The 21,766-nt window shown below is 43.5% G+C and overlaps 1 protein-coding gene and 1 pseudogene across 1 annotated transcript in view, besides 1 other annotated feature; both read left to right on the top strand.

The window, feature by feature from the left end:
- Positions 1 to 21,136, top strand: part of CPN1 (carboxypeptidase N subunit 1) — a 39,677-nt gene extending 18,541 nt beyond the window's left edge. Inside the window, exons 6-9 of the mRNA NM_001308.3 lie at positions 6,177 to 6,316; positions 8,883 to 8,982; positions 14,453 to 14,571; positions 20,756 to 21,136. Coding sequence (NP_001299.1) covers positions 6,177 to 6,316; positions 8,883 to 8,982; positions 14,453 to 14,571; positions 20,756 to 20,902 — 506 coding nt within the window. The 3' untranslated portion in view covers positions 20,903 to 21,136. The remainder of the gene's footprint in view (positions 1 to 6,176; positions 6,317 to 8,882; positions 8,983 to 14,452; positions 14,572 to 20,755) is intronic.
- On the top strand, positions 5,538 to 5,692 carry MTATP8P4 (MT-ATP8 pseudogene 4; annotated as a pseudogene).
- Positions 18,147 to 18,973: an enhancer, noted in NCBI's record as "H3K27ac hESC enhancer chr10:101804113-101804939 (GRCh37/hg19 assembly coordinates)". NCBI's record gives its function as "activates a minimal SCP1, AML or CMV promoter by ChIP-STARR-seq in naive H9 embryonic stem cells {active_cell/tissue: H9 hESC(naive)}" and the evidence as "EXISTENCE:reporter gene assay evidence [ECO:0000049][PMID:30033119]".

The following is a 21,766-nucleotide window of genomic DNA, read 5'->3' as shown; positions in this document are numbered from 1 at the left end:
TAACACAGTGAAACCCCGTCTCTACTAAAAATATGAAAAAATTAGCCGGGTGTGGTGGCGGGCGCCTGTAGTCCCAGCTACTCGGGAGGCTGAGTCAGGAGAATGGCATGAACCCGGGAGGCAGAGTTTGCAGTGAGCCATGATCGCATCACTGCACTCCAGCCTGGGTGACAGAGTGAGACTCCGTCTCGAAAAAACAAAAACAAAAACAAAAAATAACTAAAGTAGGGACACCTTTTGGTCCTGTAAAACTGGTGGTTTACACAATAGATTAGGGCATAGGAGGAAAATAATGTAGTCATTTGTGGTATCTGAGAGTAGATTGGGTTGAAACTCTCATGCCCATTTACTAGTCATGTGGCTCTGGGATGGATAATTACTTATTCTCTCTGTGCTTTGGTTTCCTCATCTGTAATTAAGAATAATAAGGCCAGGCATGGTGACTGATGCCTATAATCCCAGCACCTTGGGAGGCCGAGAAGGGAGAATCTCTTGAGGCCAGTTGTTTGAGACCAGCCTGGGCATCATAGCAAGACCTCATCCCTACCAAAAAAAAAAAAAAGAAAAATTAGGTGGGCATGGTGGTGCACACCTGTAGTCCCAGCTAATGGGGAGGCTGAGGTGGGAGGATCACCTGAGCCCAGGAAGTCAAGGCTGCAGTGCAGTGAGCCAAGATTGCACCACTGCACTCCAGCCTGGACAACGGAGTGAGACTCCAAAAAAAAAAAAAAGAAAGAATACTTGCCTCGTAATTTTAATATGAGTATTAAATAAAATAATACACATAAGGCATTTGGAAATGCCTGGCTTATAAATGGTGTAACTGTATTTTAAAAAGTAGCACAGTAGTATGCCTCACACAACAACAGATGAGCAGAGGAGCTGGCCTGGGCACAACCAGTTCCCCTGAGATACATTCCCTGGACCCTAACTGCCAGGCCCCCACAAGCAGGGGTTTGCCATGGACATTGGCCATTGATAATGTAACCTTCAAGAGCAGAAACCTCCACAAGAGACTTCTGTCTCTATCCCCTGGGCCTTCCCCATGACCAGGGGTCAAGATAGAACCTCCGTTTATGAGCCTTCACTGGATTGAAGAATAGAGAAGAGTCTGGAGCAAGAAGCTGAGTTCTTTTAGGAATCATTCTCTAGCACCTGTCTTTCCCCATCCTTCAAATCTGACCTGGCCATGGCCCAGGCAGCAGATTGGTGAGAACTGAGTTGGTGGCTGGTCCTGTGGAGAGTAGAGAGGTGCAAAACTGAGGAGTTGCCATGTACTGGGAGGGTAGACTGGGGACAAAAACTCGCTTGAATACAAGGCACGGCTGGGCGCAGTGGCTCATACCTGTAATCTCAGCGCTTTGAGAGGCTGAGGTGGGAGGATGGCTTAAGGTGGGAGTTCAAGGCTACAGTGAGCTATGATCATGACACTGCACTCCAGCCTGGGCAGCAGAGCGAGACCCTGTCTCTGAAAAATAAATAAATAAATACATCCGTAATTTTAAATGTTTTTTTAAAGTTACTTTCTTTAGTTTGCATTAGGAAAGCAAAATATTTTTTGCCCTCCAAATTGAAAATAACCAATATACTTTTTCAAATTATGCTTGTTCTTTTTTTCTCTCTCTCCTCCCTCTCCCTCTCCATCCTCTGAGAGAGCAAGGCCCATGCCTCCACTGAGAATCATTGCCCTAAATTAAGCTGGTACAATTCCAAAGTCATTAAATTTATCAAAATGGTTCTTCCAACAGTGTGGTCTCTTGATTAGCATATCAGCATGAGCTGGGAACTTACTAGAAATGTACATTTCTAATAAGTGGTACCCCACCTCGTACCTACTGAATCAGAAACTCTGAGGGTGAAGCCCAGCAAGCTGTATTTAGCCAGAAGTTTCAGCCTTCTAGGTGATTCTAATGCATGGAGAGAACCAATTTACTTATTTATTTTATTCAAGCATTTTTTAATTTTTATGGATACATACGAAGTGTATATATTTATGGGGTATATGTGATATTTTAATACAGGCATGCAATGTGTAATAATTACATCAGGGTAAATGACATGTCCATCCCCTCAAGCATTCATTTCTTTGTGTTACCAACATTCCAATTGTACTCCCTCAGTTATTCTAAAAGTTACAGCAAATTATTGCTGATGGTAGTCACCCTTTTGTGCTATCATTCATTCTTTCTAACTATTTTTTGTATCTATTAACCATCCCCATTCTCCCCACCCCCACCATCCTTCCCAGCCTCTGGTAACCATCCTTCCTCTTTATTTTCATGAGTTCAATTATTTAAATTTTTAGCTCCCACAAATGAGAAAGAACATGCAAAGTCTGTTTTTCTGTGCCTGGCTTCATCCCTGTTTTTGCAAATGACAGGATCTTATTTTTTTTAATGACTGAATAGTACTCCATTGTGTATATGTGCCACATTTTCTTTATCCATTCGTCTGTTGATGCACACTTAGGTTGCTTCCAAATCTTGGCTATTGTGAATAGTGCTGCAGCAAACAAGGGAGCGCAGATAACTCTTCAACATACTGATTTCCTTTGTTTTGGGTATATACCCAGCAGTGGGATTGCTGAATCAACTAGTAGTTCTATTTCTAGTTTTTTGAGGAACCTCCATACTATTTGGAGAGAGCCAATTTAATAGGCTGTAGTTATTATTCTTCAACTTTCCCCATTCTTTCTGTAACAGCTGCTTGCATTCATCAGCTTAAAAAGTAAGTGATAATTTTTTTCATCTTCATTTATTTATTTATTTTGAGTTGGAGTCTCTTTCTGTCACCCAGGCTGGAGTGCAGTGGCTCCATCTTGGCTCATTGCAACTCTGCCTCCCGGCTCAAGCGATTCTCCTGCCTCGGCCTCCCAAGTAGCTGGGACTACAGGGACCTGCCACCACACCTGGCTAATTTTTGTATTTTTAGTAGGGACGGGGTTTCACCATGTTGGTCAGGCTGTTCTCAAACTCCTGACCTCAAGTGATCCGCCCGCCTCAGCCTCCCAAAGTGCTGGGATTACAGGCATGAGCCACCATGCCCAGCTTCATTTTTATTGTGGTAAAATATACATAACATAAAATTTACCATTGTAATAATTTTTAAGCATATGATTCCGTATTATTAAGTACATTTGTGATGTTGTACAGTCATCACCAGCACTCATCTCCAGAACTCTTTTCAGCTTGTAAAACTGAAACCCTATACCCATTAAACAATAACTCTCCATTTCCCCTTACCCCAGCCCCTGGCAACCACCATTCTACTTTTTGTCTTTATGATTTTGACTGCTCTAAGTACCTCATATAAGTGGGATCATGCAATATTTGTCTTTTTGTGAATGCCTTATTTCACTTACCATAATGTCCTCAAAGTTCATCCATGTTATGGCGTTTGTCAGAATTTCCTTACTTTTTAAGGCTGAACAATATTCCATTATACGTTTATACCACATTTTGTTTCTCATTTATCCACCAATGGACACTTGGGTTGCTTTCACATTTTAGCTTTTGTGAATAATGGTGCTACAAACCTGATGTGCAAGTATCTCCTTGAGACCCTGATTTCTGTTCTTTTGGATATATAAACCCAGAAGTGGAACTGTTGGACATAAGGTAGTTCTATTTTTAATTTTTTTGAGGAACTACCATACTGTTTTCCATAGAAAACACCACCTGTGCACGGGAGTTTCAATTTTTCCACATCCTCACCAACTCTTTTTTTTTTTTTTTTTGATAGTAGCCATCCTAATAAGTTCAAGGTAATATCTCACAGTAGTTTGATTTGCATTTCTCTAATGATTAGTGATATTGAGCATCTTTTCATGTGCTTATTGGCTATTTATATACCTTCTTTGGAGAAATGTCTATTCAAGTCCTTTGCCCATTTAAAAAATCAAGTTGTTTGGGTTTTGTTGTTGTTGTTATTGTTATGTTTTAGGAGTTCTCTGTGTATGCTGAATATTAATATCTTATCAGATATATGTATCACAAATATTTTTCCCATTCCATGGTTGCCTTTTTACTCTGTTGACATTGTATTTGTTTGTTTGTTGGTCAGTTTGATTCTGTCGTCACCTATTCTGTCCTAGAGATACTGTCTTTTGATGAACAAAATTTTTCCATTTTCATGAAGTCTAATCTGTTATTTTTTTTCTTTTGTTGCCTGTGTCTTTGATTTTATATCCAGGAAATCATTGCCAAATCCAATGTCATGAAGCTTTTGCCCTATATATTCTTCTAAGAGTTTTATAGTTTTGGGTCTTACGTTTAGGTTGCCAATCCATCTTGAGTTAATTTTTGTATATGGTGTTAGGTAAGGCTCCAGCTTCATTCTTTTGCATTTGGATATCCAGTTTCTCCAGCACCATTTGTTGACATGACTGTCCTTTCCCCATTGAATGGTCTTGGCATTCTTGTCAAAATTGCTTTGACCATATATGCAAGGGTTTCTGGGCTGTCTTCCTTTCCATTGATCTATATACCTGTCTTTACACCAGTACCACATTGTTTTGATTACTGTAGCTTTGTAGTAAGCTTCAAAATCAGAAATTGTGAGTCTCTAGCTTTGTTTTTCTAGCTTTGTTCTTCTTTTTCAAGATTATTTTTGCTCTTCTGGGTTGCTTAAAATTCCATATGAATTTTAGGATGGGCTTTCTATTTTTGCAACAAACATCATTGGGATTTTGATAGGGATTGCATTGAATCTGTAGATCACTTTGGGTAGTACAGACATTTTTAAGTGGATAATTTTTAACCCAAATGAAATTATAATGTAAATAACCATCCTAATAATGAGAAACATATTAAAAAGTAATTGATTCAATTGAATAATGTGGAAGATCAGAACAAGCAAGTATTTTATAGAAAAAGAAGAAAATATAGCTGTCTTCTGCTTCTTCAGGAGTCTGTTTTTCTGGGATGGGTATTTTCAGATTAATATTGTGTTCTTAGATAGGAGAAGGGATGTGAAAGCAAAATATTAATCTCATTCCTAACCTCCCAGGTCTGAAGAACATTGTAGTTTAAGGAGAAAAATCTATTCTTTTAAAAACAGGTCATGTGCATAGTCTATAGTAAGGCACAGCTAATATGCAGACTTTGGAAATGTTAAAAGGGACAAGAAGTGAAATTCAGTCATGAAATGGAAAAAAAACATAAAGGATGAAGATGACAAAAGGGGCATTTATGAAGAGAGGAAACGAAACTGCAGAGAGAGAGGCATGTGAACTGGGAACTTGGGAAAAATGTTATGGAGGAAAGAAAGAAATAGAGGTCAAGAGGTAGAATAGAAGTTGATGAAGAAAAGAAAAAAAGAAGGTAATGAAGGGGGTGCTGGATGTTTCCAACACAAAGAAATGATAAATGTTTGGGAGGATGGATATTCTAATTAGCCTAATTAGCCTGATTAGCCCTCGCCAGAGTTCACTGTAAAGCTAACCCAGCATTAACCTTTTAAGTTAAAGACTAAGAGAATCATTATCTCTTTACAGTGAAATGCCACAGCTAAATACCACTGTATGACCTGCTATCATCACCCCAATACTCCTCACGTTATTTCTCATCACCCAACTAAAAATACTAAACACACACTGCCATCTGCCCACCTCACCAAAATTTATTAAAATAAAAAACTACAGTAAGCCCTGAGAACCAAAATGAACGAAAATTTATTCGCTTCATTCATTACCCCTACAGTACTAGGCCTACCCGCCACAGTACCAATCATCCTATTTCCCCCCTTACTGGTCCCAACCTCCAAATACCTCATCAACAACCGACTAATCACCACTCAACAATGACTACTTCAACTCACCTTAAAACAAATAATAACGATACATAACATTAAGGGACGAACCTGGTCCCTTATACTAATTTCCCTGATTATTTTTATTGCCACAACTAATCTCCTCGGACTCTTGCCCCACTCATTTACACCAATCACTATACATGTGTCTATTGAAACGTCACTATGTGTGCCCCATGAATATGTACATATTATTATGTGATGTACATGAATATGTACACATTATGTGCCAATGAAATAAATAAAATTAAAAGGTAATTCCCAAATAAATAAAAACAGAAAATTTTAAAAAGAGAGAGAGAGAGATGAGATGGGGCATTGGGTGGGAACCTGGTTATGGAAATCTGCTGCTGCCCTCTTTCCCTTAGGAATGCAAGACTTTAATTATCTCCATACCAACTGCTTTGAGATCACGCTGGAACTGAGTTGCGACAAGTTTCCCCCCGAAGAGGAGTTACAGCGGGAGTGGCTGGGTAATCGGGAAGCCCTAATCCAGTTCCTGGAACAGGTAAAATCTCATTTGTTAACTCTCATGTTTGCAAAAAGAGAAGTGCTTCTCAATGGCAGGCAAGGTGTTTCACTGGTTCAGGTCTGACTTTTGCTCTGACTCAGTCCAATAGATCTGGGCGTCTTCTTCCATTGAGATTTATTCATTCAACATTATTGAGCAGCTGAACGCAGTGGTTCTCACCTGTAATCCCGGCAGTGTGGGAAGCTGAGATGGGAGGATCACTTGGGCTCAGGAGTTTGAGACCAGCCTGGGCAACATAGCTAGACCCCATGTCTACTAAAAAAAAAAAAAAGATAGCCAAGCATGGTGGCATGCTCCTGTAGACCCAGCTACACAGGAGGATGAGGTGGGAGGATCGCTTGTCTTGTGCTGGGAGGTCAAGGCTACAGTGTGCTGTGATCATGCCATTGCACTCCAGCCTGGGCAGCAGAGCAAGAGCCTTCTCAAAAAAAATTATCAAGCACAACTATTTGTCAGAAACTGTACTATATGCTGTGAATTATGAATAAATAAGCAAATATCCCTGCCCATATGGAACTTACCTTCTAGTGAGGAAAGACAGGCAGTAAGCAATAAATTGTATAACATGTTAAAAGAGAAATGCTATGAAGAAAGTCTTACAGAGGAGGTGACATTTAAACAAAAATTTCAAGGAGGTGAGGGACAGAAACATGCAGATATCTAGGGGACAAAAGGGTTCCTTGAAATGGACACAACTGCAAATACAAAACCAACAAAAAGAATATGAAAAATGCTCAGCACCACTAATCATTAGGGAAATGCAAATTAAAACTACAGTGAGATTCCACCTCAAATTGATTAGGATGGCTGCTATCAAAAAAACAGAACTTCACAAATGTTTGCAAGGATGTGGAGAAATTGGAACCCTTGTGCACTATTAATGGGAATGTAAAGTGGTACAATCATTATGAAAAACAGTTACTGGCAATTCCTCAAATAATTAGAATTCCTATGTGCTCCAGCAATGCCACTTTTGGGTATATATTCAAAAGAACGGAAATAAGGGCCTCAAAGAGATATTTGCACATCCATATTTGTAACAGCATTATTTACAATAGCCAAAAAGTGGGAGCAACCCAGTGTTCATTGGTGGATGACTGTATAAACAAATGTGGTATATCCATACAGTGGAATATTATACAGCCTTAAAAAGGAAAGAAATTGTCTCTAGGCGTGGTGGCTCATGCCTGTAATCCCAGCACTTTGGGAGGCCGAGGCGGGCGGATCACCTGAGTTTGGGAGTTTGAGACCAGCCTGACCAACATGGAGAAACCCTGTCTTTACTAAAAATACAAAATTAGCTGGGTGTGGTGGCGCATGCCTGTAATCCCAGCTACTTGAGAGGCTGAGGCAGGAGAATCGCTTGAACCCGGGAAGTGGAGGTTATGGTGAGCTGAGATTGCGCCATTGCACTCCAGCCTGGGCAACGAGAGCGAAACTCCATCTCAAAAAAAGGAAGGAAATTCTGACACATGCTACAACATGGATGAATCTTGAGGACATTATGCCAAGTGAAATTAGCCATCCACAAAAAGACAAATACTGTATTATTCCACTTATATTAGGTACTTAGAGTAGTCAAAATTATAGAGATGAAAAGTGTTGATAAAATGGTGGTTGCCAGGGGCTGGGGGGGGGGATAATGGAGAATCATTGTTTAATAGATATAGGGTTTCAGTTTTTTAAGATAAAAAGAGTTATGCAGATGGGTGGTGATGATGGTCGCACAACATTACAAATTTTTTTTTTTTTAGATGGAGTCTCACTCTGTTGCCCAGGCTGGAGTGCAGTGGCGTGATCTAAGCCCACTGCAACCTCCGCCTCCTCAGTTTAAGCGATTCTCCTGTCTCGGCCTCCTGAGTAGCTAGGATTACAGGCGCCCACCACCACACCTGGCTAATTTTTGTATTTTTAATAGAGACGGGGTTTCACCATGTTGGCCAGGCTGGTCTCAAACTCCTGACCTCAGGTGATCCGCCCACCTCGGCCTCCCAAAGTGCTGGAATTACAGGCATGAGCCACTGCACCTAGCTAAATGTATTTAATAACACTGAACTGTACACTTAAAATGGTAAATTTTATTTTATGTGTATTTTACTATAGTCTGTCACAGCAAATAAAAAAAATTAAAAAAAAAAAAAAAAAAAGAAAGAAAGAAAAGAAAACCAGGACACCAGTGTGGCTGGACTGATCTCAGAAGTAAGGGAGAGAAAAGGTGGTTGGAGATGGGATCAGAGAGCTAACAGGTAGCTTTACAGACAGACCATCACAAGAACTTTAGCTTTTGCTCAAAGTGAGTTAGGTTTTGAGTAGGATAGTGACATGATTTGAGTCAGGCTTTAACAGGAACGCTCTGACCACTCTAATTGCGAAGAGATTAATTGGGGCAGGGAGAGAGGCAAAGAGACCAGTTAAGGGACTATTACCATCATCTTTGTGAAGATAAAATACAAAAACATAAGAGAAAGGGCTTTGAGACTCTAAAACACTGTACAAATGGTACAAATGTTTTATGATCATAACTATATACTTGTTCCTGCAGGTTCACCAGGGCATCAAGGGAATGGTGCTTGATGAGAATTACAATAATCTCGCCAATGCTGTCATTTCTGTCAGTGGGATTAACCATGATGTCACTTCAGGTAGGTGGTCACTGCTTAGGGGTAAGAAGGAAGCGTTAACTCCTGCATCTTCTTCAGCATAATCAAGGGGCCAGTTTGTAAGCTAGTGAAACCAGCAGGGGTGTCAAGGATGCTGGGAGTGGGGGGGATGGAGGAAAGAAGGGCAATGAAAATGGAGACAGTAAATTAAGAGGCTGAATCAAACAACCAAGATGTTTTAATGGAAAATCTTTTGCTTCTGATGCAAGCAATCCCTGAGAGGTCAGGACCAGGAAAGACTGATGTAAATGTAACTTCTCATCAGCATTCAGGAGTTGCTACCGCATACAATTTTGTTAGGGGTATTTTCTGGGCTTAAGCCTGTTAATAGCTCACATACTGGTGTGAAATCGGGTAGAAAGAGGACTGTGAAACAGATAGTTAGCCTTGTCGCTGACTTGGCATTTCCCTACACCTCCATTGGGAAAGTTAGCAAGATTCTTTCCATCATAGGCTTACTGTGGGGGCAAGATTGATGGTGGAGGCGGATCTTAGAGCTACCTGGAACCTCCTAGAAGGGTACAGAATTATCTCACAGCAGAATGGTGTTGTAAGCTGACTCAGCCCAGCTTGATCATGCACAACTTGTAGGATTTTTTTTTTGTTTTATTTTGCTTTTAATGCATAACAGTGGCTACAAATGGTTATGGTTACAGGTAGGTGAGATTTGCCTAAATCCCCACCTTTTTTTCTTTTTCTTTTTTTTTTTGAAAAGGAGTCTCATTCCACCATCCAGGCTGGAGGGCAATGGTGTGATCTCACTGCAACCTCTGCCTCCTGAGCTCAAGCCATCCTCCTAACTCAGCCTCCAATGTAGCTAGGACTACAAGCATGCAACACCACATCTGACTAATTTTTTGTGTTTTTTGTAGAGATGGGGTTTCACCATGTTGCCCAGGCTGGTTTCAAGCTCCTTGGCTCAAAAGCCTCCCAAAGTACTAGGGTTACAGGTGTGAGCCACCACACCCAGCCCTCCACACAACCTTAATACTAGCAAGTCTCACCTGAATTTTACTACACTAACATTTATTACCAAGCAGCCATTTCACAATTCCTACAATCTGTTTAAGCTGGATGAACTCTCAGCTTTCTGTCCTTTAAAGTGATCTCAGTGCATCTTACATGAAAGGTTCATTCAAGGCAAAGGTAATGTCTAAAGGCAGAATCCTGTAGCCTCACAGTGAAGTATCAGACAACCAGAGCCTATTAGCCAAATGTCTGGACACAGGACTGTTTAGGAATCCAAACTCAGGAACCATCCTTTTTATTTGTTTCTTCTTTTTCCTTTTTTTACAGAAATGTTTCTGAGTCGTAGGAATCATCCTTATGAGCACAGCCTTCTTCAGGGCTTGCTAGATTCTTTCTAGCAAGGTGATGGGGTCTCACTATGTTGCCCAAGCTGGTCTCAAACTCAAGCAATTCTTCTGCCTCAGCCTCCCAAATAGCTGGATTACAGGGTCTCACTCTATTGCCTGGGCTGCAGTGCAGTGGTGCAGTCAGGGCTCACTGCAGCCTTGACCTTCCAGGCTCAGGTGAGCCTCCCTCCTCAGCCTCCCAAGTAGCTGGAACTACAAGTGCATACCACCATGCTCAGCTAATTTTTTTATTTTTTATTTTTATTTTTTTACAGAGACAGAGTTTTGCCCTGTTGTCCAGGCTGGTCTCGAACTCCTGAGCTCAAGTCATCTGCCTGCCTCAGCCTCCCAAAGTGCTGGGATTCCAGGAATGCACACCTGGCTTTTGCTAGATTTTATGCTCTATCCAAGCAAGTGTGGGAATGTCTGTAAAACATTCCAGCCAATCAACATATATTGCTGGGCACAGTGGCTCATGCTTGTAATCTCAACAGTTTGGGAGGCTCAGGTGAGAGGAACACTTGAGGTCAGGAGCTCAAGACCGGCCTGGCCAACATGGTGAAACCCCTGTCTCTACTAAAACTACAAAAATTAGCTGGGTGTGGCCAGGAGCGGTGGCTCACACCTGTAATCCCAGCACTTTGGGAGGCCGAGGTGGGGGGATTGCCTGAGCTCAGGAATTCGCAACCAGCCTAGGCAACATGGTGAAACCCCATCTCTACTAAAATACAAAAAATTAGCCAGGTATAGTGGCGTGTGCCTGTGATCCCAGCTACTCAGGAGGCTGAGGCAGGAGAATCGCTTGAACCCAGGAGGTGGAGGTTGCAGTTAGGCAAGATCATGCCACTGCACTCCAGCCTGGGTGACAGAGTGAGACTCTGTCTCAAAAAAAAAAAAAATTAGCTGGGTGTGGTGGTGTGGTCTGTAGTCCCAGCTACTCGGGAAGCTGAGGCACAGAGGCATGAGAATCATTTGAACCCGGGAGGTGGAGGTTGCAGTGAGCCGAAATCACGTCACTGCACTCCAGCCTGGGCAGAGTGAGACTCTGTTTCAAAACAACAATAAAAACAAAACATATTAAACCCCACTAATTTTTCCAATAAGTGCCACTTTCACCAGCCATTGTGTTAATTAACAAATTATTAGGCTGGGCACAGTAGCTCATGCCTGTAATCCCAGCGCTTTGGGAGGCCAAGGCGGGTGGATCACCTAAGGTCAGGAGTTCAAGACCAGCCTGGCCTACGTGGTAAAACCCCGTCTCTACTAAAAATACAAAAAATTAGCCAGGCATGGTGGCAGGCACCTGTAGTCCCAGATACTCAGGAGGCTGAGGCAGGAGAATCGCTTGAACCCAGGAGGTGGAGGTTGCAGTGAGCCAGGATTGAGCCACTGTACTCCAGCCTGGGCGACAGAGCAAGACTCCATCTCAAAAAAAAAAAAATTTTTTTTCATTTCATCAGGGAAAAAACCCATTGTAAACATTCATTATATTACTTAGCAAAGCATCTAGTGTTGATGAGAGAGAAAGCTAGCTGAAGCCCTCATAGTAGCTGCATCTGGAATGGGGCCTTTCTGATACAACACTCGCTAACCACTTCAGGATTCAAGTCCCCAGTTAAGAAAATGACAACCCCTGGGGTGTCATTTCAACTATCCAACACATGTACTTTGCTGAAGTATTTTAAAGTAAATTACAGACATTTAATAGGGGGCAGAAAAAGACTTCTTCATTATTGTTTGTCTCAATGTTTATTGTATTTATTATTTCAAATATTCATTGCTATATACTTAAAATGAATTTTAAAATCACTGTCATAATTGAGTCTAAAGGGATGGAAAGTCATTAGCCAAAATGCACTTTCCTTGTTATAGAAAAACAGGCTTCTTTTGAATTTTATTTTTCCCTTGCCATACTTTTGAAGATGATAAAAGAAATTTTTTTGTTTTTTGAGGCAGAGTCTCGCTCTGTCGCCCAGGCTGGAGTGCAGTGGTATGAGCCACTGCAACCAGCCCAATAGAAGAAATATTAAAAATAAGATTCTCACTGGGCACAATGGCATATGCCTGTAATCCCAGCACTTTGGGAGGCTGAGCTGGGAGAATTGCTTGAGGTCAAGAGTTCAAGACCATGCTGGTCAACATAGCAAGACCTCCATCTCTACAAAAAATAAAAATAATAAAATTTACCAGTCACAGTGGTGTGTGTCTATAGTCCCAGCTATTCAAAAGGCTGAGGCAGGAAAATTGCTTGAGTCTGGGAGTTCAAGGTTGCAGTGAGCTATGATAGCACCACTGCACTCTAGCCTGGGCAACAGAATGAGACCCTATCTCAAAAAAAGAGATAGGACTCTCAAAATCGTATCTTTACTGGTCATGTAGTCCAGCCTTCCCATTGAATATAAGATTACACCCATATAACACCACCGGCAGCTTTTTGTCCAACCCAGGGCCTCCATGTTCAGTGGTACAGGTTTTGCACTGTACATCTGCGTGGCCTTTCCAGGCTTCTGATCTAGTCTGTGCTTGAGTGCTCACAATTGCATAAAGCAGTCCATTCCTTTTTTTGTAGCTCTGTTTCTCTCAACAGATTTGTTTGTTTGTTTGTTTGTTTGTTCTATTTGAGACAGAATCTTGCTCTGTCACCAAGGCTGGAGTGCAGTGGCGCGATCTCGGCTCACTGCAGCCTCCACCTCTCACGGTCCAGCAATTACCCTGCCTCAGCCTCCCAAGTAGCTGAGACTACAAGCATGTGCCACCACGCCTGGCTAATTTTCGTATTTTTAGTAGAGATGGGGGTTTCACCATGTTGGCCAGGCTGGTCTCAAACTCCTGACCTCAGGTGATCCACCCACCTGGGCCTCCCAAAGTGCTGGGATTACAGGCATGAGCCACCGCACCTGGCCTCAGTAGGTTTTATTTCTGTCTAGCAAAATCTGCCTCCCTGCAACTTAAACCCATACTTCTCATTCTTATTTCTTTAGATAGACATCATTTCTTCACAGTGGCCTTTCAAATATCAAAACTGTGGTCTCATGTAGTTTCTTTATTAGGCAAAACATTCACAGACCTTTCAACCTTTCCTCTCTCCTAGTGATCCTTTACTGGAGGGGAGTTTGTATTAAACTACAGGGTCTAGAATTACATTTAACATGTTCAGTGTAGAGCACAGTAAAATTCCTGCTTCGTAGGAGCTGAGGCCGTACTCCTATTAAGATAGTCCACAAATGATTTAAATCTTTACTAGTTTCATGCTATTAAGAAAAGCCAGGCTGGGGGCAGTGGCTCATGCCTGTAATCGCAGCACTTTGGGAGGCTGAGGCGGAAGGATCACTTGAGCCCAGGAGTTTGAGACCAGCCTGGGCAACATAGTGAGAACCGGACTCTGTTTATTTATTTTGAAAAAGAAAAGACGGCCGGGCTCGGTGGCTCATGCCTGTAATCCCAGCACTTTGGGAGGCCAAGGCTGGCAAATCACCTGAGGCCAGGAGTTTGAGACCAGCCTGGCCAACATGGTGAAACCCCGTCTCTACTAAAAATATAAAAATTAGCTGGGTGTGGTGGTGCACGCCTCTAATCCCAGCTACTTGGGAGGCTGAGGCAGGAGAATTGCTTGAACCCAGGAGGTAGGGGTTGCAGTGAGCTGAGATCATACCACTGCATTCCAGCCTGGGCAACAGAGTGACAGAGTGAGACTCCATCTCAAAAAAAAAAAAAAGCCAACGGGCTCAGCGGCTCACGCCTGTAATCCCAGCACTGGGAGGCTGAGGCGGGCAGATCACCTGAGGTCAGGGGTTCGATATTAGCCTGGCCAACATGATGAAACCCCGTCTCTACTAAAAATACAAAAATTAGCTGAGCATGGTGGCACGCACCTGTAATCCCAGCTACTTGGGAGACTGAGGCAGGAGAATTGCTTGAACCTGAGAGGCAGAGGTTGCAGTGAGCTGAGATCACACCACTTCACTCCAGCCTGGGTGACAGAGCAAGACCCCGTCTCAAAAAAAAAGAAAAGCCAACCTTGTAGTCAGATAAAAACCCTAGCTTATTTGGGACAGATTTTTAATCAGTAGACTGAGTTATATCTTTGTGACTTTCAGGTGACCATGGTGATTACTTCCGGCTGCTGCTTCCAGGTATCTACACTGTTAGTGCCACAGCACCTGGGTATGACCCAGAGACAGTAACTGTGACCGTGGGTCCTGCGGAACCAACGTTGGTGAGTTAGGCTGAGCTTGACGGTGCACTGTAGAGATCACTTATACAGTCTTTTTTTGGAGGACAGTGTCCTGCTCTGTCACCCAGGCTGGAGTGCAGTGGCACCACTGTGGCTCACTGCAGCCTCGATCTCCTGGGCCGAAGCAATCCTGCCGCCTAAGCCTCCCGAGTAGCTGGGAGTGAGTATAAGCACACACCACCATGCCCGCCTAATTTTTCTTTTTTTAGAAAAAGGATTTCGTCATGTTACCCAGGCTGGTCTTGAACTCCTGGGCTCAAGTGATCTGCCTGCCTCAGCCTCCCAAAGTGCTGAGATTACAGGCATGAGCCACCACCCTTGGCCCTTGCAAAATCTTAAGTGATTGCACAGCTCTAATCTTTGCCCAGCTTCTTTCTTTTACTGTTTTTTAAAGAATTAATTGCTCGCACATCCTAATTTTTGTTCTGTCACTCTCCTGTTATATCCTTCCTCACTTCCTTTTGGCTTTTCCTCTTCTGTCTAACATAGCATAGTGATTTAAAGCACTGTCTAGTTCTAAATTCAGCTCATTTGCCCACAGACCTTGGACAAATTACCTAATCTCTCTTATTCTCAGTAAATTGGTAATAATAGTGCCTCCTTCACCAGAGGCTGAAATGAGAACATGCACATAAAGCCTTTAGTATGCAGGGGCCAAATCAACTCTCAAAAGGCAGATTAATTGGAGAAAAGCCATACCAATTTATTTTTATTTTATTTTATTATTATAATTATTATTGTTATTTTGAGAGGGGGTTTCGCTCTTGTTGCCCAGGCTGGAGTGCAATGGCATGATCTCGGCTCACCGCAACACCCGCCTCCCAGGTTTAAGTGATTCTCCTGCCTCAGCCTCTTGAGTAGCTGGGATTACAGGCATGTGCCACCATACCTGGCTAATTTTTGGTGGGTTTTTTTTAGTAGAAATGGGGTTTTTCCATGTTGGTCAGGCTGGTCTCGAACTTCTGACCTCAGGTGATCTGCCCACCTCGGCCTCCCAAAGTGCTGGGATTACAGGCATGAGCCACCATGCCCGGCCTGTTTTTTCTTTTTTTGTTTTGTGTGAGCATACCAATTTATTTAACGTGTATACACAGGAGCCTTCAGAATGAAGGCCCAAAGATACCGGGGAAATTGTCCACTTTTATGTGTAGGTTCAACAAAGTAGGTACAGCTAGGTAATAAATGCAACTGGACAAAAAAAGTATCAGCTAATGCTATGCACTGAGTGAAGAAATCTAGCAAGGCCTATCTTTCCAGATTCTTCTGGGCTCTCTGACCATGAATTTCTTCCTTCTGTGTGTGGGTCAGTACCCTCTCTGGAAAGAGGGACTCATGACCTATAGTCAAACAAGGTAGGGTCTTATGACCTACAGTCAAACAAGGGAGGTCAGATATGTCCTCCTCCTCCTCTCTTTCTTCTCCTCCTCCTTCTCCTTGACCTACAGTCAAACAAGATAGGTCAGATATCTCCTCCTCTTCCTTGTCCTCCTCCTCTTCCTCCTCTTCTTCTTTCATAGAGACAGGGAGTGTCTCTGTCCCTCAGGCTGTGCACTGGCGTGATTATGGCTCACTGCAGCCTCAGACTCAAGAGATCTTCTGCTTCATCTTTCCAAGTAGCTGGGACTACAGGCACATGCCGCCATGTCCAGCTAATTTTTTTTTTTTTTCGACAGAGTCTCGCTCTGCCACCCAGGCTGGAGTGCAGTGGCTCAATCTCGGCTCACTCCAACCACTGTCTTTTGGGTTCAAGCAATTCTCCTGCCTCAGCCTCCCAAGTAGCTGGGATTACAGGCATGTGCCACCATCTTCAGCTATTTTTTGTATTTTTAGTAGAGACAGGGGTTTGCCATGTTGGCCAGGCTGATCTTGAACTCCTGACCTCAGGTGATCTGCCCACCTCGGCCTCCCAAAGTGCTAGGATTACAGACGTGAGCCACCGCACCCGGCCATTTTTATTTTTATTTTTTGAGACTAGAGTCTTGCTCTGTTGCCCTGGCTGGAGTGAATGGCACATTCTCGGCTCACTGCAACCTCCGCCTCCCGGGTTCAAGTGATTCTCCTGCCTCAACCTCCCAAGTAGCTGGGACTACAGGCATGTGCCACCACGCCCAGCTAATTTTTGCATTTTTAGTAGAGACGGGTTTTCACCATGTTGGCCAGGCTGGTCTTGGACTCCTGACCTCAGGTGATCCACCCTCCTCGGCCTCCCAAAGTGCTGAGATTACAGGCGTGAGCCACTGCACCTGGCCTAATTTTTGTTATTTTTTGTAGAGACGGGTTCTCTGTGTAGCCCAGGCTGGAGGGCAGTGGTACAGTCATGGCTCACTGCAGCCTTGAACTCCTGAGTTCAAGAGATCCTCACACCTTGGCCTTCCAAAGCACTGGGATTACAGGCGTGAGCCACTGTGCTCCCTCCGCCTAGACTGTGATCGGCCTAAATCTGATGGTTTCTTTAAGACCAGTTTTTACAGAGAAGGCAGCGGGCTTGCATTCTTCTGTGCCACTGGCAAGGACTGCCACCAGAGGGCGCTCTACCATCCCTTCTGGTGCTCCCTGGGCCCTGATCTTGCTTTCCACTCATGCCGCAAAAAGCCAGCTACTCTTCAAGATTAAACTCTCCAGGGCTTTCTTTTATAGATAGGATGAGAAGCAAAGAACTTCTTTGATTTTACAGCCTGGATCTTTTCAGTTTTGGTTGTATTAAGATCTCAGAGCTAACAGAGCTCAGAGATCGTAGACACTAATCCTCAGATTTCTCAAATGAGGACAAAATAATGAGGCAGTCCTATTTAACAGACATCTACAGATCTCATTTCCTAAAAGTCAGCCTTTCCTAGGGCCGCCTCACTCCTGTACACAACCCTTAGTAGACCCTCCCACCACCTTTCCCTATTAACACAATGCAGTCCAGTCAAGCTTGTCTTTTACTATTTATTGAATAAGTACTATGTATGACATGATATGAGAGCTTTCCAGCATTATCTCATTTAACCTTCACAACAACCCTGTGAGGTAGATGCAAGTATCCCCATTTGTGGCTTAGAGAAGATAAAAGAAACTTGTGTAATATCACATAGCAAGTGGTGGGAGTCAGGATTCGAACCTATATCAGGCTCTCTGGCTCCCTTCTTAGCCAATGTGTTACAGAACTCATACTAAGTGTACAACCTGTGTTTGTAGCTCCTTATTGTAACACAAGGATCAGGAGAAAGAACTATGCTTTAAGTCCTTTGAGAATTTCCAGATAGTTTCTTCCTCCATCCCCTCCCCTAGTCCCATCTCCTAAATAATGTAAATTACTTCTGCTTACAGTTGCAGGAAACAGAGAGTAAATCTTTCATTGCAGCCTATGAGCTGATCTGGGGTCCTCTTTCCCTTTTTTCTTGTTATATCCTAAAATTGAATGACTGTTAAGCAGCTACATATATAAGTTTTGCATTACCAGCAAGTCTGTTCAACGCCAAATTCAAACAACTGCACGTCCTCTTGAGTAACACACTCAATTTCAAAGGATTTTGCCCCCCTTTTCACATATTCTTTAAATAAATTAACATAACCCATCATTATGTCAAATATACTCAGAGGAGAAAAGATGTCTGTCATTTGGATACAATTTCCAGACACAGTAACAACTAAAAACCCATTTATTGATCACAAAGGAGTCTATCTCCCTTCCCAGTCTAAAGCAGATATCCATCTGTCTGGGAAAGAAAAAAGGAAAAAAATATTGCCCAGGTGTGGTGGTTCACACCTGTAATCCCAGCACTTCAGGAGGCTGAGGCAGGCGGATCACTTGAGGTCAGGAATTCGAGACCAGCCTGGCCAACATGGCGAAGCCCTGTCTCTACTCAAAATACAAAAATTAGCCAAGTGTGGTAGCTCATGCCTGTAATCCCAGCTCCTTGGGAGGCTGAGGCAAGAGAATTGCTTGAACCCAGGGGGCGGAGGTTGCAGTGAGCCGAGATTGTGCCGCTGCACTCCAGCCTGGGTGACAGAGCAAGACTCCATCTCAAAAAAAAAAAAAAAGATTGTTTACTACAGAGTTTCCAGCTTTAAAATGTCTCAGCTGGGTGCGGTGACTCATACCTGTAATCTCAGCACTTTGGAAGGCTGAGGCTGGCAGATCACTTGAGCCCAGGGGTTTGAGACCAGCCTGGGCAACATGGCGAAATCATATCTCTACAAAACAGTTCAAAAATTAGCCGGGCATGGTGTCATGCACATGTAGTGCCAGCTACTTGGGAGGCTGAGGTGGGAGGATCACTTGAACCCAGGAGATGGAGCCTGCAGTGAACCGTGATTGCACCACTGCACTCCAGCCTGGATGACAGAGTAAGACCTTATCTCAAAATAAAAATAAAATGAAATAAAATATCTTCCGGGGCCCAGTGTTTTCTTTGCTTTTCCCCAAGGCCTTCCACATGTCACCACTCCTTTCCTTTTCCTCTGTCCTTGCCTCATTTTCTTGTCTCTCTTCTCTCTCATTTTTTTCTGTCTAGATTCCTATGTTACTAAATAGGAATTGGTAAATAATACAGCACAGTTGGCTCTGATTCTCCCCTTCCCTCCTGGAGGAACTAGCAGAAAAACTGGCTATCAATTTTTGCGGAAGGGGCAGGAAATAACCCTACAGAGAGGCCTCTTAGTCAGTGACATGTTTTTTAACTCCCAGCTGGCTTCAGGGGCTCAAGCTGTTCCAAGGGTGGGAAAGCCCAGGCCTGCCCCAGAGGAGTGTGGTTAGGACACTGTGCCACTCCCTCTCCTTCCTCTTCAGCCTGGGATAGTTCTACGGCTCTTCCACACCCAGAATGTCCCACATTTGTCAGTGAAAAGTATCTTTCCATCTGCGTGCTGTGGCCAGAAGAGAGGTTGCAATGTAGTGCTTGAAAGGATGCATTAACACACATGGAAATTTCCAGTTTAAGAATCCAAGCAGGATGTGGTGGCATGTGCCTGTAATCCCAGCTACTCAGGAGGCTGAGAGGCTGAGGCAGGGGGATCTTGAACCCAGGAGTTTGAGTCCAGCCTGGACAACATAACAAGACCCCATCTCTAAAATTAAAAAAAAAAAGAAAAGTAAAATAAATCCCCAAGTCCATACCAACACTCTTTATCATCTCTACTATCTTTGAAGTCAAACAAGTAGGCAGAAGGTTTAGTTCTGAAGCATGGTGACACTTACTGGCATGCCTGAGCATGGCACCTGTGAGTCACCCAGGCAGCATAAAGAAGATTGTTACAGCACCGTCAATCATGGCTCTTGTCCTAAGTGGCAGTATTGGTGAAATCATATTTGATGTGTAGATATATTTTTCTTTCTTTTCTTTACTTTTTTTTTTCTTTTTGAGATGGAATCTCACTCTGTCACCCAGGCTGGAGTGCAGTGGCGTGATCTTGGCTCTCTGTAACCTCTGCCTGCTGAGTTCAAGCAGTTCTCCTGCCTCAGCCTCCCGAGTAGCTGGAACTATAGGCATGTGCCACCAGCCCAGCTAATTTTTGTATTTTCAGTAGAGACGGGGTTTCACCATGTTGGCCAGGCTGGTCTCTAACTCCTGATCTCAAGTGATCTGCCCGCCTCAGCCTCCTAAAGTGCAAGGATTACAGCCACCATGCCCAACCTAATTTTTTTCTTTTTTTTTTTTTTTTTTGAGATGGAGTCTCGCTGTCACCCAGGCTGGAGTGCAGTGGCAAGATCTCAGCTCACTGCAGCCTCCACCTCCTGGGTTCAAGCAATTCTACCGCCTCAGCCTCCTGAGTAGCTGGGACTATAGGTGTGCACCACCACACCTGGCTAATTTCTTTGTATTTTTAGTAGAGACAGGGTTTCACCATATTGCCCGGTGTGGTCTTGAACTCCTGACCTCAGGTGATCCACCACCTCAGCCTCCCAAGTGCTGGGATTACAGCCATGAGCCACCACACCCAGCCCATCTTTTTCTAATACATGTAAAATCAATGTATATTAAGTTCATCCAGTCACACTCTATCTATCACCAATGATTGCATACCAATTTTGGGGGAACGTTAGCCAAGTCTATATGACACCACCAGTGCTTCTCTGGGTCACTGCTATAATAATTTTCCCTAGTACCCAGCCCTCAGAAACTGGAACTATGGCAAAAGATGGTCCAAACGGATCTCGTAGCTCCTGCTTTTTTTCTTCCAGGTTAACTTCCACCTCAAAAGAAGCATCCCTCAAGTAAGCCCTGTGAGGAGAGCTCCCAGCAGAAGGCACGGAGTCAGAGCCAAAGTGCAGCCCCAAGCCAGAAAGAAAGAAATGGAGATGAGGCAGCTGCAGAGAGGCCCTGCCTGAAACCCACAGTGCCAGGCAACCCTTCAGAAAGGCTTTGCTCCTGCTCTCAGATCAGATCAAGCATTCTTTCTATTTTATTATCTGGGACATATTTAAATACAAACATATTCAGAACAATTCAGAATGGTCTCCATCTGTTCCAGGGGTAAGCCATCTCTAGGTCATCATGAAAAAAATTAGGATCTATTGAAAGGTGATGTGGTGGCCGGGTGTGGTGGCTCACATCTGTAATCCTAGCACTTTGGGAGGCCGAGGCAGGTGGATCACCTAAGTTCAAGAGTTCGGAACCAGCCTGGCCAACATGGTGAAACCCTGTCTCTACTAAAAATACAAAAAATTAGCTGGTCATGGTGGCATGCACCTGTAATCCCGGCTACTCAGGAGGCTAAGGCAGGAGAATCACTTGAACCTGTGGGGTAGAGGTTGCAGTGAGCTGAGATCGCACCACTTCACTCCAGCCTGGGCAAAAAAGTGAAACTCTGTCTCAAAAAAAAGAAAGAAAGAAAGAAAAGAAAGCTGATGTGGTAGTACATACATCTAGTGGTGTTTGGTAAGGTTTTTCTATTCTGAGAGTCTGGTTTAGGCTCCATGCCAGTCCACACTGCATCCAGAGACTGGTTCTGGCTGGTTGGCAGCTGCACCTCCAGAATCTAGCACAGAGTTTGCAGAAGAGTTAGTGCTCAGTGAAGATTTCTGAACCATGTCTGAAATGCTGAAGTAAGTGATCCATCATTGATGTTGTTCCCATAGCAAAATTAGGTGACCAGTTCTTCTGAAATCCCAGAGGATCATTTCAGCAATAGCCAATAGCATCTTAATAAGCAAAGAATTTGACATGCAAATACCTAGTGCCATGGCTACCCT

Source organism: Homo sapiens, chromosome 10 (genome assembly GCF_000001405.40).
Source record: "Homo sapiens chromosome 10, GRCh38.p14 Primary Assembly".
NCBI classification, from domain to species: Eukaryota; Metazoa; Chordata; class Mammalia; order Primates; family Hominidae; genus Homo; species Homo sapiens.
This window is presented reverse-complemented; position numbering and strand designations above follow the sequence as displayed.